This window comes from Homo sapiens, chromosome 17 (genome assembly GCF_000001405.40).
Source record: "Homo sapiens chromosome 17, GRCh38.p14 Primary Assembly".
Classification (NCBI taxonomy): domain Eukaryota; kingdom Metazoa; phylum Chordata; class Mammalia; order Primates; family Hominidae; genus Homo; species Homo sapiens.
In genome coordinates this window covers 66,820,535-66,840,023 of record NC_000017.11, presented here as the reverse complement: position 1 = coordinate 66,840,023, position 19,489 = coordinate 66,820,535, and the positions used below count along the sequence as shown (strand labels likewise).

Below are 19,489 nucleotides of genomic sequence, written 5' to 3'. Positions count from 1 at the left end.
CTGGGATTTGAACTCAGTTCTGTGTGGCTCCGAAGTCCACATTTTAGTGTGGACAGTAGAGAGTGGGCTGCCCATACTCATGCCCCAACAGCGCTGCCTGAATTCCTTAACCCTTCTGGGCCTTGCTTTTCTCAGTTGAGCAATCAAGAAAAGGAATAACACTTACCCGACAGGACTTCAGTGCACGTGCGCGGAACAGCCCTGGAGCGGCGTTTGTGCCTAGCAGGTAGTGAATGCTCACTGACCTCCCCTTTCTACTCACAGAGAAAGCTCACAGCCCTCGGTGATGCAGGGCCCAGCAGAGCCCACCCAGCTGCTCCCACACTGCCCAGCCCCCAGACTCACTGACCCCCCTCCATGTTCCTCCATTTTCTCTTCCTGCAGCTGCTTGGAAGCTCTTTCCCAGACCTCCCCCTCTCGCTCTCTCCCCACCTTCCCATCTCTGATAAATGTCACCTGTGCAGTGAGGCCCTTCCTGGGGCTCCTTTCGAAAATGGCAACCCTGCCTCACCTGTGCTCTCTAAACCCTGACCCTGCTTGACCTTTCTAGCATCTTCACCACGCAGCCTCCTCCATTTTCTACTCCTACAGCATATGTATTGTTCATTTCGCTCTGTGGAATGCTTGCTCCTAAGAAACAGGATTGATTTTTGTCTTTCTTTCTAGCTGTATCCCCAGTGGTTCTCAACAGCAGACTACTTTGCCTCCCAGGGGATTTTTGGCAATCTCTGGAGACATTTTTGGTTGTCAGAATGGGTGGGGGTGGCCAGCCATGGTGGCTCACGCCTGTAATCCCAGCACTTTGGGAAGCCGAGGCGGGTGGATCACAAGTTCAGGAGATTGAGAACATCTTGGCCAACATGGGAAAACCCCATCTCTACTAAAAATATAAAAATTAGCTGGGCGTGGTGACACATGCCTGTGATCCCAGCTACTCAGGAGGCTGAGGCAGGAGGTTCGCTTGAACCCGGGAGGCGGAGGTTGCAGTGAGCCAGGATTGCACCACTGCACTCCAGCCTGGGTGACAGAGTGAGACTCTGTCTCAAAAAAAAAAAAAAAAAAAGAATGGGTGAGGGACTGGGGTGCTACTGGCATCTCATGGATAGAGACCAGCACTGTTACAGAGCATCCTACACTGCCCAGGACAGCCTCCCCTGCACCAAACAGAAGAACAAGGCAGCCCCAAATGCCAATAATACTCCAGTCGTATCCCCATTACTTAGAACAGCAGCCAGCACATGCATAGCAGGTGCTCAATAAATGCTCATTATGGAAGACTGAGGAGCTGCTATCATCATTGTTGTCATCGTTATTATTATTTAAGAATAGATGTGGTCGAGAATCATCCTTAAGGATGGTCCCTTGGGTGCTCATGGCCAATAGGTCATACTGTTGACTTAAAACATCTTTCTTTTGGTCCAGGCTCTGCCCCCTGGAGCATCCAGAAAAGGCAGTAAACTGCTCATTGCTGGGGCTTCACCAGCCAGGACCAGTCCACATCATCAAGCCCCCTGGGCGCCCAGGTGATGCCAGCCTTCTCCTCCCCACAAGGAGCCTGGCCATGGGCTGCCGTGAGCAGGGACTCTCAATTCTCACCCCTCTGTCCCCCCTTCTGCTTGCTCCCACACTGGAAAACTCAGGACCTTGTGCACAACTGAGCAAGGAATCACCTCCACAGGCCTTTTCAGGGTGATCCCAGCCGAACTCTGCTCCCCCCAGGCCACTCTCAGCCCAGGAAACTCATGGGTCTGAGTGAATTATGCCATTTTTGCTTCTTTCAAGAAAGGGCGAGGGGAGTGACAGGGGAATTTTCAGGGAGGCACAGCCAGGCAGGGTATACTCTGTCATTTTGCTGACCTAACAAATTATCATTGACAATTTTAAACAGCCAGCGTGACCAGGCCAGACTCTTCTAATGCAGAGGGCACCACCCATAGAACACACCAAACCCCACGTGGTGTGTTCTGAGCAGCGGGTAGAGCAGCATGAAAAGAAACGATGCTTTTGCATCAGGGACTATTTCACCTCTCGAACAGGCTGCCGGAGCCCAACCCAGACACAGGCCTGGCACCCACCCTGTATTCACACCGAGAATTCCCACTTGATATTCACAACTTTCTCTGCCTGAGGCCTGCCCCTTCCCCCTCGCCCCAAGCCTCTCCTTCTCCCTGGGGCCTTCTTGAGCTTAGCAGCTGGGCCTGTCTCTGCAGAACTATGAGGCTGGCAAAGTACAATGTTCTCTCTCCTACACTCCCCAAGCTTCTCTTTCCCTCCTCTCTGTTCTGCCTTCTCTTTCTCTCCTCTCCAAGGCCCTGAAAGCTTCTCAACAAGTCATTGATGTTAAGGATTAGTAACTGACATGAGACTATGAACCACAGTCATAAGTCTCTAATGGTGGGATATTAAGCATCAGATGGCTAGGTTTGGGGGAACAGGATGATATTTGGTGGGCAGGGGTTGTCCTGGTGCCCCTGAAGTCTTAAGTAGCTAGTCCCAATTCTGCCAGGGAGTAGGACTGGCCCAAAACTCAGAAGAAGATGACAGAGCAGGCATGTGCCAAGTGTCAGTGAGCCAGAAGGCTGTGTGGGGTGGGCCCAGGACACCAATGGCTCGGGGCAGAAGCTGGGGACAGAAGTGCCAGCTCCCTGCAGAGGCAGAGTTTGCTGGAGACTGGGTTACATCCTCCATCCTCACTTTTTGGGAATCCAAGCTCAATCTGTGAGCTACCCTGCTACTAAAATTCACACCTCTTCCCCCACCTCTAAGGATGGCATGAGGGATCCTAGCTACACAGCCACTTCCCTCAAGTCCAATGTCAGAGAGTCAAGCTGGGGGCTAGAGAAAGCAGAGGCCACAACACCAGCCCAGAACCACCTCCAGTAAAATGGACACTGTCATTCATTCATGACCTTACTTGATTCTCAAAACCCCCTGCCAGACCCATCTTACAGGTGAGGAGGCTGAGCCTCCAAGCATTCTGTAAGTTGGCCAGTGTCACACAGTCAGGAACCTAGCAGGGTTTGGAGCCGACGTTTTCCACAACAACCTAAGGCCAGTCTCTTCCAAACAAGCGTGAACAATTCAGCCAATCTCCCCCTGCACCAAGTCACAGAGCCCCAGCTGACAAGCCTGAGAATGGCTGAGCTCCCTCAAGTGTGCTGTTGGCTTGTGGGGCCTGGGGTGCAGCCAGCCAGGATGCTGGGGTTCTCACATCACCAACAGCCCCAGCCACAGCAGGGCCACCTCTATCTTCCGTTGAACTGGACTACCCAGCCCCTCAGCACATCCACTGCCTTCCACATGACAAGAGAGAGGAGGTTTGGGGGTGGGGAGGTCTCAGGCACAAGCACAGATTTCACCCTGTTAGGCACCCTGGGGACCTGGCCCTGAGATGAGGTGTCCCCCAGCTACCTCCAGGGGCTGCGTTAGCAGAGAAGTGAGGCAGATCTAGGGCTTCTCAGGCAGGCAGGAGACTTCGGCATGAGGGGCTGGCTACAGGGTCTGCAAAGAGGTGCCACCAACCTGCCACTGAGATGCCTGTGGTCCTGAGATACTCTGAATCCAGGACATCAGAGCCAATCAAGGTCCCACACCCACACCCAGGCAATCCTGGCTGTTAATTGATCAAGACTTCAGGTTTGTGGAAATGAGGGGAATGGGTGTGAGGTGGCTGGGAGGGGAAGCCCCATCTTGTGTTCCCCAGGATGGATGTGGAGCAGAAGCCAGCCTCGGTGACAGCTTGTATGTGACATCTGTCAAACTGAGACAGCTCCCACTTGGGGATCCTGTCCTGGGTCCTGCTCTAACCCAGTCACTGATAATCCAGTGCAAAGTGGGTGAATCCCTTCCTTTCTGGGAACAAGGGCTTCCTTAACCACCGGCGTGCCTGGCAGGTACCGGAGGCAGCCCCGGGGCAGCCCTGGAGAAGCTAGTCAGAATATGAGCTTCTTTCCTCCCCAGCCAGGCTCCCGGAATTATTTCTCAAATCATTTTCAGTCCTAGGAAGTGATAATTTGATTTCACTTTAACATTTTTAACGAGCTGCATCTTCATCAACTGCCAAATTAGGATGAGAGCAAAGATCGGGGAATCACAATGAGAGGTTTTGGAGTGATTGGGGAAATCCAAATTTGGGGTGTGCCTGGGTGGTTGACACCTCACGCCCAGCACCTGCGGTGGGGTCCCCATAGCACCACCCTGATCACCCCCGCGAGTCCATCTCTGCTCAGTGGCTCCTGGCAGGGACACCTCCTCCTATCAACCCTTCTCACAGGCGGGAGAAGGAAGCCCCGGGTCCCACGAGCTGGAGAAATGAGGCCACCCTGCAGGCTGTGATAAGCGGGGAGTTGGACCCGCATAGGCCGACAGCCCAGCTCAACAGGTGGTGGTGGGCTTATCCCTTCCTGCATTATCCGGATAATAATCTGCCAGCCCCATTCAAGTCCGTCGTGGAAAAGTCTGCCCTCAGCTTTGGCATGGGTAAATTGCCTAGAAGCGACTGCAAAGAGGGGGCGTCATCATCTCCCCCGATACATCCTTGGGACAGACAGATGGACAGACAGACACACGCACACGCGCATACACACGCCCGCGCTCCCCACCACACTGCCCCTTCCAGGGTGCGCGATCGCTAGGGCTCTCCAGCCCCTGCCCCTGGCTGGGCTGTCATGGGGGCGCAGCCCGGCGCCGCGGCCCAGCACCGGTGGGAGACCGTCCCCCAGGGACCCCCCCAGGATGGAAGAGGTGGTCTCTCCCGGTCTTCCCGGCTCTTACCTCGCTGGAGCGGCCGCGACCCCCGACCCTGGTCCAATGTCCCTCGCCGGCTGGGCGCGCGGGGCGGGAGGTACCGCGCTAGGCTGCCCGGGACGCCCGCCCCGTCCAGTCAGCCGGAACCGCTCGGCGCCAATGACCGTGGCCGCCGCCGCCGCAGCTCGCGCCCCGGACCCCGAGAGGGAGGGGCGGGCAGGGGGCGGGGCCGAGGGCGGGGCCTCCCCACCCCGGCGCTGCCAGCTGCAGGCGGGGTTTGGGACCGGTCAGATGCGGTCTCCCAGCCCGGGAGGTGAGCACCTCTGGGGTGAGCACCCTTGTGGGGGTGGCAGGTGAAGAGTTGGGGGCCGGCGTGGGAGAGGAGAGGCTTTCAGAGTCCGCATAGGGCTGGGAGACCCTGCCTGGAGTCAGACTCACCTTCAAATTCCAGCAGCTGGGGCTGCAGCCTCTGCCGTTGCTGCTGCTTTTAAATAAGGATGATGATGATGATGATGATGATGATGATGGTGATAGAACAACAATGCCAGCTAGTATTTATTGAGCACTTACTAGTGTAAGCGTTCAATGAGCTTCACATGTATTAAGTCATTTAATTCTCACACGAATCCCATTTTACAGATGAGAAGACTGAGGCACAGGGCGCTTAAGTGAGGAGTCTGAGGACACACAGCTGGAAAATGGCAGAGCCAGGACTGCAGCTCAGGCCTGTCTAAGTGCAGAATCTGAGCCTTTAAAGCCCCACTCTGCTTTTGTACTGTGTGGCCTTAAGCAAAGTGTTTGTCCCTCTTAACAGTAAAATGGTAATATATGTCCAATAAATGGTGGCAACTAACAATAAAACATTTCTTCCTTTCTTAGGTTCTATGTCTCCTTTAGTCTCTGGGTCCTGGACACCCAATAGGTGCTCAATAGATGTTTGTTAATCTATGACTAATTTGAAAGTGGCAGCTGGAGCCAGTGTGGTCAGCCAGGTTGGAAGGGGAACCCAAGGGCTAACTCTTCCTGGCCTGCATAGCCACATATCTTTTATTGCTTTGAAATGGCAGCCTGACCGATATCTTTGTCCGGCACACTTGTGCAGATGCTCACAGACCAGCAGCTTCCCCTCAAAGGCCTGTAAAATCCCTGCAGACCAAGAGGGGGTCAAAGATGTGGCATGTGGAAATATTTGGGGGCAAAGTTGGTTGCTAAATAATGAGACATCAGCAGTGAACATATTAGTTTAAAACTGTAGGGCAGAAACTTTTATAGAAGCATCTATGTTGCTGAGGTCTCCTGACATGGGAGGACTTTGTCACATGTGAATGGGGCCAGGTGGAGTTGGGACAACTGAAGGTTTTTGGAAAGGATACACCACGTGTCTATTCACAGCATTTTAGGCCTATGCAGTTTTCCGCTTTTTCTCCCTTTTCCCACCTACCCCAAGAGTGTTCTTCTCTATCCCCCAGAATACCCTGATGGAAATCCAAGAATGGATTTCTTCTTCTTCGTCTCTGGGCCCAGGAGCCTCTTGCACAGCTCTCACCAGTATGGCAATGATGAATTTACTGTCAATCTCCCTAACTATGCTGGGAGCCCCTTAAAAGGAGAAAGTCTGACGCATAGTAGGCACATTGTATTTGCTGAATGAATGACTGGAAGTTGGACACATCTCCCCAAGACTAAAGCTGTCAAGGAGAAAACCACCAAAGAAAACCTCAGAGGTGGCTGGATCAATGAAATGAAAAGATGAAAACGGGCAAAGCACCCAGGAGATGTGCCTTTTGCAAAGTCTGCAGGTCATTTTCCCAGCAAAGGCCAGAGAGGCTGGCCTGGGATCCATGCCCTGTGGGTCACCTCTGCGGGCCGTCGCCATGTCCTCCAGCCATTGAAGAGTAAGTGTATGGAGTGGGGGTGAGCAGACTGCCTGGTGTTGGGTGTGAGGAAAGGGGTGGGTGGAAGAGGGAATGTCCTCCCTTGTGGGTTAATTGAACAATCCCAGAATGTCCACTTGCCCCCTAGATAGGCCCCCTTTTTGATCTGTGTGACCCTATTCTCTGGATCATCTTGCAATGCTTATGGAGAAATAACAGATCAATTGGTTGCAGAAAACACCCTTCAAAAGGGAAGCTAGTGGCCGGGCGCGGTGGCTCATGCCTGTGATCCCAGCACTTAGGGAGGCCAAGGCAGGCAGATCATGAGGTCGGGAGATCAAGACCACCCTGGCTAACATGGTGAAACCCCATCTCTACTAAAAAACACACAAAAAAATTAGTCAGGCATGGTGGCAGGCGCCTGTAGTCCCAGCTACTCGGGAGGCTGAGGCAGGAGAATGGCATGAACCTGGGAGGCAGAGCTTGCAGTGAGCCGAGATTGCGCCACTGCACTCCAGCCTGGGTGACAGAGCAAGACTCCATCTCAAAAAAAAAAAAAAAAAAAAAAAAAGGAAGATAGTGTCCAGGGGTGCTCAAAGCCTCCTCCCCAGTCATTCTGCCCAAGGCAAGTGGGGAAGTCCCCACAACATGGGTGGTTGAAAAACAGCAATTTGGATCTGATGGAATGAGGTCTTCAACGTGGCTCTGCCCCAACTAGCTGTGTGACCTTGGACAAGTTACTTAACCTCTCTGAGCTTTCGTTCACTTCTCGATAACCAAAGCTGGCTTCATGGTTCTCAAAGCCTTGCTCTTAGGAAAGCTCTGTGCCTGGTTTGATGATCTGATTTTGCCATCTCGAAATTCTTAATCAGTTTTCAACAAGGGGCTACATCTTAATTGTTGCACCGGACTCCATAAAATTATGTCTCTGATGCTGGTGATAACGCCAACCTCACTGGTTTGCGAAAGCGAGATCATGTTTGCACAAGGGTCTGACACATTGGGGGCTCTCAGCAAAAGTTAGTTTCCCTTCCTCTGATCTGGCCGTAAATGATAAATAGAAATTCACCAGGTAGACAGAGGGCTGGGAAGGGAGTTTCAGGCAAAGGGGTCATCCTAGACGAAGGCCTGAGAATATGAAATTACATTCAGGGAAAGGCAAATGGTCTGAGGTAGGGTGGGCATGGGAAATGGAGGGAGACAAAACTGAAGAGACAACTGGGGCCAGAGTGGGAGAGGCTCCCAGTTCTTGTAAGGAGCTTGGCCCTCAGGCCCTCAGGTCTGTGATCAGGGAGCCTGGGACGTGAAGGTGGGTGAGCAACACCAACATCTGTGTCCCACGGTTGGGCCGCGGACTGGTTCAGATAATGAGACAGGCAGTGGGTGACGTGGGCGGGAGCACTGCTCGGAGGCTGCCAATACGGCGTGTTTGAAAGGCTGACTGTAGACATAATGGGAAAATGCTGTAGGTGTAAAAGCCAACAGCTGTGCTTGGGGATTTGGGGACTCCAGGCCTGATGAATAATGGAGCAGCCCTTCCACCCTGGGTCTCTTTTTCTATCCTTTTAATAATTCATGGATTCCCCATTGGTAGGGGAGTTTCATAAAACCTCAGCTCTCTCTCTGAATCCTGGGCCAGTCTGAACAAATCTGATGGCTTCACTCATTAGATCTTAATGAGAAACACACATCCATGTGCACATTATTTGCAGAATGTGCCTGTGTGGATGACAAGGAAGAGGCCCAGTTATGTCTAGGAGGAGGAAATGTCTTCCAGCCAGGCAGCCTCCTTCTGGTCCCTTGGGGGTGGAGGTGGTGACATGTGTCACTTCCAGGTGGAAGCTTTCGGAATCACTGAGTGCTTTGCCATGCTCGTCTCTCTGCCTTTGGGATTGTGGAGACAGTTGTCAAGATGGCACTCTGTCACTCTGAACTCCCACGTGATGACGAGGAGTAGAGATTCCTTACTGACCTCTGGCAGCCACATAGCATGAGCTGTATGTATCTTCTAGTACACACGGACTGGTTTATTTGAGCAAACAGATGTTGCTTCCAGTGTAGAGCAGAGATGGAATTCCAAACTCCAGATCTAAGTGGTCATCAACACTGATGTGGGACGATCAATACCAGACTGATCAATACGAGACCGATCAAGGCACCTTCAATCGTGTTGGGGATGGAGGAGACCAGAGCTTCTCAGCAGATCCAGGTCAAGTTTGAGATGAGCAGTATCTGAAAATGTGCAGAGTGTGCATACGTGTGTATGTCAGGAGGCTGGGGGAGAGGGAAGAGGGCCCCATGAAGTTGGGAGGGGGTGTAGGCAGAAAAACCTGGTCAAGGTCAGAGCAAGAAGAATTGAGCTCACTGTGGAGTTGCCCCTATAAATAATAATATTTATTGGCTAATAATAATAATATTAATCCCCACTACAGCTAATATCAATTACATGCCACGCACTCTGCTAAGTGCTTACCATGTGTTAAGACATTTAATTTTCACAACAGCCCTCTGAGCTAGGACAATTGCTAGCCCCTATTTCCAGATAAGGCTATGGAGGATTAAAAAGGTAATTTGCCCTACATATGGCCAAATTCTAGTGCTCAAAGGAGAATGGCACATTGAGGCTCCATCCACATCAGCATCACCCATGCTGTGAGTGGGCACAACAGCTGGAATCTTTAGGCCAGCTGTCAGGGCTTAAGCATGCAAAAGTTGGTCTCAGCAGGGGACCCAGGGAGCTGTGTCAGAGCCATGTAGCCTGGATGACTGAGCAAACAGGGAAGGCGGAGGTGACAGTCGCTGGCAAGGAGGCCCAAGGAATACTGTGCTTCAGAAAGCAAGAGGCTGATTGTCCATTCTGCTTCACGCAGGAGGCTGGGCCACCAAATGGCACTTCCTGTCCGAGCTGGTTGGTGGGGACCTAGAAGGTGGGGCTGTGCTTTTGGGTGTGCTAAGCCTCCAGATGAGATTGTTCACTCACCTGCTCCTGCTTGCTCATGAACTCAGTCCTGTGTTTCCCTCTTTTTCTCCTGGACTTGACTTTGTGTGTGGGGGTGGGGGTGGAGTCTGCAGGGACATTGGTCCTACCTCTCCCTTCCCCCCTCACTCAGCCCTCGCCACATCCCTCCTTTTCCCACCACCTCTCAATTCGGTCTGAGCTGTTCCCCACAGCCCCTCCCAGCTAGCGTCCCTCTCCTCTCCACAGCCCACTAAGGGCCTCATCAGGGCTCATATGTGGCTTCCTAAGAACCCTATCTCTTCCTCATTGAGAGTGTGCGGTCTCCTGTTCCGGATGCATCCGAGTGTGAAGCCTGGGAGAGTTCACACAGCCATCCGCGTCCCTGCCGGATCACCAAGCAGCAGCTCGGATTCCCACTGGCTGTTCTCCCAGCTGCCCTTCTGGCTCCCCTAAGACCAGCTGTTCGTCCTCTGCTCTCATCATTTTTCCCCTTAGTAACTGGATGATTGCTTATAAAACAGTTCCAAGGGCAGGGCTCCCATCAGCAAAATGAAGACTCTTCTCCATTTTGACTGCTGAGAAAGTTATAGGGTGGTAAAGGAAACGACACCCAATAAAAGCCCCAGATGGAGCAGAATACATCAGGAACAGGGAGGAAAAAACCTTGGCGGGGAAGGTCTGAAGGCGGCCGAGGAAGCTGCGCTTAAATGGGTCAGCATCTGGACAGCTCCCTGCAGGGCTAAGGCACCAGGTGGTTAGGGGAGACTCTTTCTAAGAGGCGATTACAGCCTTGTAAGACCCGGACTTTTCCTTGCTCTTTACTGGACCCCATAAAACTCCAGTGACTCGTGCCCATGGGCCTCAGGGAGATTAAATCTCATCTGATCCGTTCATCTGTGCGGATGTCAGCACGGATTCACATGGGCTATGGTGTTACACACGAGCGGCTCCTTAGAGAACTTCGGGACGCTCAGCCCGTGAGAAGTGTGGCTGCTGTGGCCGCCAGCTCAGCAGGTTTCTGGATGGTTGCAAGGGAAGAGAGGTCAAATAGCTGCCGCCTTCCACAGGGCACACTGCACAGGGCAGACATCAGTGACATGGTGTGGGGAGGGCCCCCAAAACAAAGCCAAAGGCCCTGGAAAGTAGGGACGGGGATAGGAGTGAGGAGAAAGGGAGGCCAGGAAATGAGAGCATTTCCATGTATTTCAGAACAAATAAAGCAGGACCAGGCTCATGCCACCTCCCCAATTTCCTGGTTCCTGGGATGACAGAAAATAACATCTTAAATAGCCATTTCCTAGCTTTGACGTTAATGGAAAAAAAAAAGCTTTGAAAGAGTGGTTTTCTAGGCAGGCAGCATCTGGGAAGGAAAGAGTGTATGCCATGGAGGTGCCAGCCAGTAGGGATGGGGGCCAGAAGTGTCCCCTCCAGCCATGACAGTGTCTTCCAGCCACAGATCTCCATAAGGGACCCACCAGCTGCCATCCCAGGCTGGTGGTCAGTGATTAAGGCTTCAGTCAGTGATTAAGGCTTGAGAAAAGGGTGATTCTATGGGTACTTTCTGTGGGGTATCTGCAGTTTGGACCAAAAACATTGCAATTGTTCCTATCCCTCTTCTAGGAATCTAAATATCAATATTCATCTTCATTTTATTTTATGATGGAGACGAATAGGAGACTCTCTAAATATCTACCATTGGGGAATTAATTAGCTTAAGTATCTTGCACCCACAGGATGGAATATTATGCAGCCACTAAAAATTAAGTTTCAATCACAATTGATATAGTTTGGCTGTGTCCCCACCCAAATTCCATCTTGAATTGTGGCTCCCATAATTCCCATGTGTTGCGGGAGGGATGGAGTGGGAGATAATTGAATTATGGGGGCGGTTTCCCCATACTGTTCTCGTGGTAGTGAATAAGTCTCACGAGGCCTGATGGTTTTATAAGGGAAACCCCTTTTGCTTGGCTCTTATTCTGTCTTGCCTGCTGCCATGTAAGACATGGCTTTCACCTTCCATCATGATTATGAGGCCTCCCCAGCCGCGTGGAACTCTGAGTCCATTAAACCTCTTTTTCTTTGTAAATTTATAAATTACCCAGCCTCAGTTATGTCTTTATCAGCAGCATGAAAACGGACTAATACTTAACTTACAGGTAGAAAAAATGTTCATGGTATAATGTTAAGTAAAAATCAGGGCAAAAAACTATATAATTTATTTTTTCATTTCATTTATTGTTCACTGTGTGTGTGTGTGTGTGTGTGTATATATATATATATACCACTGATATACCACTGTGTAAAAAAATAAGAAATGTTATTTGTTGTGACTATATGTTTATGGTAAAAAAATGAGCAATATAGAAAAGCATGAAGAAGAATATAATTATCATCTATAATATCTGTTTCAGGGTAAACAACAATAGTTCTTTTCATTTTTCACAGTGTGTATATATACACAGTATTTCACACTGTAAAACATAAAAAAAGACTACAAGGAAATATACCAAAGTGTTAGCAGTTGTTAGCCCTGAAACAGACATTGTGGGTGATAATTATATTCTTCTTCATACTTTCCTATATGGCTCAAGGTTTTTTTTTTACCATGATCATATAGTCAGAAAAAATAACATTTATTATTATTTTTTATACTGTGTTAAAATATGCAGAACGTAAAATTTACCTTTGTAACCATTTTTAAAGTGTGTAGTTTATTGGCTTTAAGTACATGGACATTATCACCATCATAGAAAACATTTTAAATGTAACTTGAAACTTGAAATTTTCTGTCCAGATTGAAGTAGAGGTTTGGAAGCTAGAATTTTCACATTGCAACTTGAACATCTCTCAATGGCCTCTTGAAATTAAACAAAAACTAGGGTATGCTCCACGGAAACATTGAAGATGGCTGTATCAGTCAGGACTGTTTCGATGGCAAGTGACAGAAAACCAGGAAAGTGAATGAATGGACTCAGATCACTGGCGTCTGGACTGGAAAGTGTGATGGGAACAGGTCCTCAGGAGAAACTTGGAGACAGCTATTGGAAGAAGGGGCAAATGTTGTTTACTAAAGCAACCGGTACAGCTGTCCTGTAGAGCTTAAGGAAGAATACAATACTTTTAGAATGCACCCGTCCAGCCGCCTGCCCAGGCTGGTGTAACTATGATGCTAATTTTTTTTAATTAAGAAACAAATTGTATTGAGATAAAATCATGAATTCATAACATAAAATTAACCTTTTAAATTGAGCAACTCAGTGGCATTTAGTACATTCACAGTGTTATGCAACTACCATCTCTATCTAGTTCCAAAACACTTTAATTACCCCAAAAGGAAATCCATGCTCTTTAAGCCGTTATTCCCCATTGTCCCCCGCCGGCAACCACCAATTTGCTTCCTGTGTCTGTGGAGTTGATTATTCTGAATATTTCATGTAAGGAGGATGGCTTCATACATAACCCTTTGTATCTGGCTTCTTTTACTTAGCATAAGTTTCGGAGGTTCATTCACATTGAAGCATGCATCAGGACTTTGTCCCTTTTTTCTGATCGAGTAATATTCGTGTGTGTGTGTGTGTGTGTGTCACAATTTGTTTATCCATTCATACACTGATGAACATTTGAGTTGTTCCACCTTTTGGCTATTGTGAATAGTGCTGCTGGGAACATTGGTGTACATGTACTTGTTTGAACACCCGTTTGTACTTCTCTTGGGTATATATGTTGGAGTGGAATTGCTAGGTCATATGGTAGCCCCATGTTTAACTTTTAGAGGAATGGAAAGGCTGTTGACCATAGTGACTGCATCCCGCCAATTATGTAGGAAGGTTCCAGTGTCTGCACATCCTCATCAATACTTGTTATTTTCCTTGTTTGGTTGGTTGTTGAGACTCTAGCCATCCTAGTGGGTATGGAGCCTATGACACTGGTTTTGTGCAAGCCTCCTGAGGAAATGGCAAGGGATGGTGAGCCCCCAGGTAGGAAACACCCGCTGCTGAAATCCAAGCAATGTTGCTTTGCCACAGGCTCCAGCTGCCTTTCTGGAACCAGCAAAGCTATGTAGGATTCATCTGAGCTTGGTTATAGGAAGTGGGACTCCACCTGGGCACGGCAAATAGGCCTCTTAGAAAACGGGCCTGTCACACCAGTTAGAATGGCAATCATTAAAAAGTCAGGAAACAACAAGTGCTGGAGAGGATGTGGAGAAATAGGAACACTTTTACACTGTTGGTGGGACTGTAAACTAGTTCAACCATTGTGGAAGTCAGTGTGGCCATTCCTCAGGGATCTAGAACTAGAAATACCATTTGACCCAGCCATCCCATTACTGAGCATATACCCAAAGGACTATAAATCATGCTGCTATAAAGACACATGCACACGTATGTTTATTGCAGCATTATTCACAATAGCAAAGACTTGGAACCAACCCAAATGTCCAACAATGATAGACTGGATTAAGAAAATGTGGCACATGTACACCATGGAATACTATGCAGCCATAAAAATGATGAGTTCATGTCCTTTGTAGGGACATGGATGAAATTGGAAATCATCATTCTCAGTAAACTATCGCAAGAACAAAAAACCAAACACCACATATTCTCACTCATAGGTGGGAATTGAACAATGAGAACACATGGACACAGGAAGGGGAACATCACACTCTGGGGACTGTTGTGGGGTGGCGGAAGTGGGGAGGGATAGCATTGGGAGATATACCTAATGCTAGATGACGAGTTAGTGGGTGCAGCGCACCAGCATGTCACATGTATACATATGTAACTAACCTGCACATTGTGCACATGTACCCTAAAACTTAAAGTATAATAATAAATAAATAAATAAATAATAAATAAATAAATAAATAAAAGAAAACGGGCCTGGCTCCAGTTATCTGGAAGCCTCTAGCTTCTGGAAGCCTCAATGAAGGTTGACACATCGCTCAGCCATCACTTATGAAGACCAGAGATTCTGCTCCCACAGTGTGGTAGAAAAGATTCCCAGCTCCTCAGCCACCACCATCTACTGGGAAGTGCCTAAAATTTCCTGTCAGAGTTTGCTTTTATAGGAGAAAGTTTAGCACAGGCTGTGATCCTGCTCTTGTTCAAGACAATGACAGTTATGGAGGGCCCCCGAGTTGAGAGGGCAACGCTGCTTGCAGCCAGAGGGATGAGTTCAGGAGCTTCAGTCACTGGGAAGCAGCGCCTCTGCCTACCTGGAACTCACTGATGGAGCAGTCCCAGCGGAGGCTCACCAAGGATTAGGAGCATGTGCCTTGGAGTCAGCTGGGTCTCAGGTTGCATCTCATCTTTGTCTGCCACTGTAGCCAAGAACCTTTGGTAAGTTACTTAATCCTTGTAAGTTTTGGACTCATCATTTGAAAAGTGGGCATAATGCTTATAATACCCACCTTGAGAGGCTATTGAGAGAAGGAGGGAGATGCTGTATTCAAAGTGTGCAGCACAAGGCCTGGCCCAAAGTAGCAAATGATTCCTGTTATAATTTGAGTTTTAGTGCATATCCAATTCTAAATCCCTGCGGGGAGGGTCGTGTTTCTAGATCATTCACAGTTGTCTGCTAAAGTGCCAGGCTCCGTCCTGGGAGCAGGTGTTGGTAGTGTGTAATCACAGGAGATGCAGGGAGGGAATAGTAAAGGAAGAACGTTTTCTGGGTGCTGTTGATGAACCTGGTAATGAGTCACCTGGGCATGCTGGGGCCCCTCTGTGGCCCCCCCGGGGGGAAGAAGGGAGGTGCCACCCTACCCAGAAAGGGAGGATGGGGGATACTAGCTTAGATCTCACCTGGTCAGGTGTCTTCTGTGAGTCTGTAGGCATTGCCCAGTGCCAGCCCCTGTGGCCATAGTCAAAAGTTCCTGGCCTGGGTCAGGACCATTCGGTGTCTTCCCTAGACCTCATGAGTGCTGGACTCTGCAATGGGGTCAAGCAATTCTTCCACTGATGGCTCAAGACAACCTCAGAGGAGCGGGAGATACGACCTCTAACCCCTGCCTCTATTCCCATGGGTGGGGGGAGGGTGGAGACCCCCAGCTTTCCCCATGGGATTCCCGGGGATGGAGGACAAACCCTAGTGTCCCAGTCTTATCATGGTTTCTCAACCTCAAGACATTTTTTTTTTTTTTTTTGACAAGGTCTCACTCTGACACTCAGGCTAGAGTGCAGCAACACAATCTTGGCTCACTGCAGCCTTGACCCCCTGGGCTCAGGTGATTTTCCCACCTCAGCCTCTTGAGTAGCTGGGACTACAGGCATGCATCACCACACCCAGCTAATTTTTTTGTATTTTTAGTAGAGATGGGGTTTCACCATGTTGCCCAGGCTGGTCTCAAGCTCCTGGCCTCAAGCAATCTGCCTGCCTCAGTCTCTCAAAGTGCTGGGATTACAGGCATGAGCCACACCCAGCTCAACCTTAAAACTATTGATGTATCATTGATGGGGGCGGGACAGGATGGGGGTCGTGGTGCTGCCCTGTTCACTGCAGGATGGTTAGCAGCCTCTCTGGCCCCTGTCCCTCTAGATACCAGTAGTACCCCTTTCCCAACTGTGACAACCAAAAATATCTCCAGATGTTGCCAAGGTTGGTAATTGCCAGAGTTACCAGTGGGTGAAAACCACTGGGCTAGATGTTAACTGAGACTTTTTTCTGCCTACACATCTATCTGCTGGCTTCAAAGCAAGCGGGCATGGGGGTATGGCCCTATTGATATGGGAAAACATCTCCCCTGGCTCTGAATCCTGACGAATTTCCCTGCTAGTGAAAGACACAGACCCTCACCCCTTTTTTAGTTACTTAAGAGCAAAGTGTCTCACTCCACCAAGTCCTAATTTTCTTCCAAGGACATTATGGTCTGGTGTCACATGAGGACTGAGACTTGCTACTCTTACCATGCTCCTGGTGAAACAGCAGGTTAGTCCCTATTGTACTCATGGAGTGGCCCTCTCCCTCCAGGCCTCACTTTCCTTACAAAGACCCCGCAGTAACCAGCAGTGGCCATCCGCCAATAGATGCTTCTGGATCTCCTAAATGGCCTCTGAGAGAATGGGCTGGAGGAGGTCATTTCACCCTGCACCCATGTAAGGCAGATCAGCAATCTTTTCTTTGTTGTTCCAGTGAGCAAATTAAAAATCAGAGAAATTAAATGCACTCACACAGAGTCCATCAGTGAGTTTAAGACTAAACTGGAATTCATTCATTCAATGTGCCTGGCATGTCCCAGTGGGGTGGGGGTGACCCAGCTACAATCTTCCCACTGCAGGTGCAACATGTTTCTGGACTGTACCCCCGCTTGGTTCTCCAGGGGCATGGAGGTCATTTGGTTGGGAGGCTTGGATGGTCTCCTATGGAGACACCAGCCCCTGCATGTCATAGCAGGGATTCTAGAAACAACCTTGGGGAAAAAAAGAACATATTTCTCCCCCTTCTTGAGGGGTTCTCCACAGCCCCATTTTGCCCATTCTCATAGGTGGCCTCCTGCCCTGCCTTGTGACTCAGTCTCTCTAGGCCCCAAGATTAGAAAGCCATTAACTGTCCAGGGAAGCTTTAACCCAGAGGCACACCTGGGCCAGAAGGATGGGATTAGAGCTATTTGCTCCCCAGGGGACATTTGCCCAATGTCCAGAGGCACTGTGGGAAGAATTATCACTGGCATCTAGTGGGTAGAGGCCAGGGATGCTGTTAAGTATTCTACAAGGCATGGGACAGCCCCTCACAATAAAGAATAATGCAGCCTCAAATGTCAGCAATGTCGAGGTTGAGAGGCCCTGAAATAGATATGATATCAGAGTCACAAGCTTAGAGAAGGGGATGGGCATCTCCCAAAAGGTGAGGGGAGGTTGGGCAGGTGGCAGGGCTCTTACCAGAAGCAGTGAGGCAGCTTGCTGGGTGACCCTACAGCTGCTTTGGGTGGTCCTGGCTCATGACCATGACCCCGGGAGAGTTAATGGCTCTCTCTTGTACTTTCACACCTGTCCTGGTTTGGAATATAGTTATATATATAACAGTTAGTTATATAGTCACCCCACTGATAGGTGAGGACGATGTCCACTCCCTGGGTGGGCTAACGCTGCTGGACGAGGGGACAGTGTTCTGTTCCTTTGGAACTGCAGCAAAGCCTGGGGACACCAGGCTTCGAGTACCAGGTACCTGGGGAAGGCATTAGAACCTTCCCAGGCATAGAAACCACGTGGGGCCTTTGGAGTCAACTCACAAAATGATTACACTGCATTTTTTTAGTCTAATAAAATTTCCCGGCATCTCCTCTCTGGCCGTTTGTCTTCTCTCCATAGTTACTGGTTTTTGTTCTGTTTTGTTTTGCTATAAACTGCTCATGCCACAGCAGCGGTTTTCTGTCCAATATTCCCTGAGTAAGGCCCTCTGGAGAAACCACACAGAATGATGCTATCTCCTATTTGAGAAACCCTTGGGAGCTCTTTGATGTCGAGCTGATCTCCAGTTCATTCCCACAGGACTTTTGGAGGCCAAGAATGGCTCCTCGGAGTTCTCACTTGGGTCTCGTTGTGTCTCACAGGCTCTGCCTAAACCAGCCACTGGTAAGGAAAATGGAATTCCCATGACGGGCTTATGCCCAAGAGCATCCATGCCCTGGGGCCCTGGAGGATCCAGGGAGGGCATGGTTATCATAAATCAGCCCCAAACTGGAGTTCTATTAGCAAGAATTTAGGCTCTTTCCAATGACCTGTGAAGTAGATATAGCAGTTAAAGCATCCGCCTAGCAGAGCCCTTCTCAGAAGGGATCTCCCTTTGTTCATCTCTTTGATGACGGGATGGGCAAGGTGGCCCTGTTTTGTGTCAAACAGCTTGCTCCGCTCCGCCACAGATGAATGGACCAGACATGGGAGCCTGACCCCTGACAGTAAATCCAGCCAACTTGTCAGTGACCGATGACATGGCCGGACCCACACATGCACCGGGCCATAGGATTCCCTCTCTCAGGGCAAAAGTACCAGGTGAGACCCACTCATCAATGGACGCTGATGTGAAAAGCATGATCAGAGGCTAAGGAGGGGCCAGAAGAAGTTGTGGTCGGTTGACCTTTTGAGAAAATGCAGGCTGGGGAGGAAGAAATGCACCAGGAGGTTAAAGGTTATATCCTGTGTGCTTCCATTTATATCACACTCCTGAAATGACAAAATTACAGTGATGGGGAACAGAGCTGTGGTTGCCAGGGGCTACGGTGGGGGGTGGGGCAAGATGACAAAGGGGTAGCATCGGTGAATTTCTTTCTGGATAGAAGAGTTCTGGATCTTGATTATGGTGGTGGTTACATGAATCTATACATATGATTTCATAGTCACACACACACACACACACACACACACATAATGAGTGTATTGTGTATGTAAAACCTGGTGAAATTCAAATAAGGCCTATAGTTTAGTTAAGAGTATTCTAACCCCATCTCTATTTAAAAAAAAAAAAAGAAATACAAAAAAGTTAGTCAGGCATGATGGTGCTCTCCTGTAATCCCAGCTACTCCGGAGGCTGAGGCAGGAGAATTGCTTGAACCCAGGAGGCAGAGGTTACAGTGAGCCGAGATCGCACTGCTGCACTCCAGCCTGGTGGGTGACAGGGCGAGACTCCGTCTCAAAAAAAAAAAAATTCTACTGTGTCCCTTTTCTGGTTTTAATAATGTACTAATGTTAAGTAAGGTGTTATCATTGAAGAAGCTGGGCGAAGGGTACAGGGGAACTATTTTGGCAAATTATTTTGAGTCTTAAATTATTCCAAAATAAAAAGTTCCAAAAAGAGAAAGAGGCTGAGGAGCTTACATGAGTGAGAGAAAAAAAATCCATCTCCCAGAGCTGCCTTGGCTCTAGAGATTTCCAGCCCAGAACTGCCTTGGCTCCAGAGATTTCCAGCGCCAGCCCCT

The 19,489-nt window shown here is 49.3% G+C and overlaps 1 protein-coding gene across 2 annotated transcripts in view, besides 3 other annotated features; it reads right to left on the bottom strand.

Annotated features, from left to right (window-relative positions):
* The window catches only part of CACNG5 (calcium voltage-gated channel auxiliary subunit gamma 5), a 59,635-nt gene extending 54,728 nt beyond the window's left edge, over positions 1-4,907 (bottom strand). For both annotated transcript variants that reach the window (NM_145811.3, NM_001371476.1), the window contains exon 1: positions 4,774-4,907. The gene's annotated coding sequence lies outside the window, so the exon portion shown is untranslated. The remainder of the gene's footprint in view (positions 1-4,773) is intronic.
* Positions 9,230-10,161: an enhancer, noted in NCBI's record as "H3K4me1 hESC enhancer chr17:64825981-64826912 (GRCh37/hg19 assembly coordinates)". NCBI's record gives its function as "activates a minimal SCP1, AML or CMV promoter by ChIP-STARR-seq in naive H9 embryonic stem cells {active_cell/tissue: H9 hESC(naive)}" and the evidence as "EXISTENCE:reporter gene assay evidence [ECO:0000049][PMID:30033119]".
* Positions 9,230-11,042: a biological region, named in NCBI's record as "VISTA enhancer hs2613".
* Positions 9,589-11,042: an enhancer, noted in NCBI's record as "VISTA enhancer hs2613". NCBI's record gives its function as "enhancer in: hindbrain (rhombencephalon)[3/7] | midbrain (mesencephalon)[3/7]" and the evidence as "EXISTENCE:transgenic organism evidence [ECO:0001131][PMID:17130149]".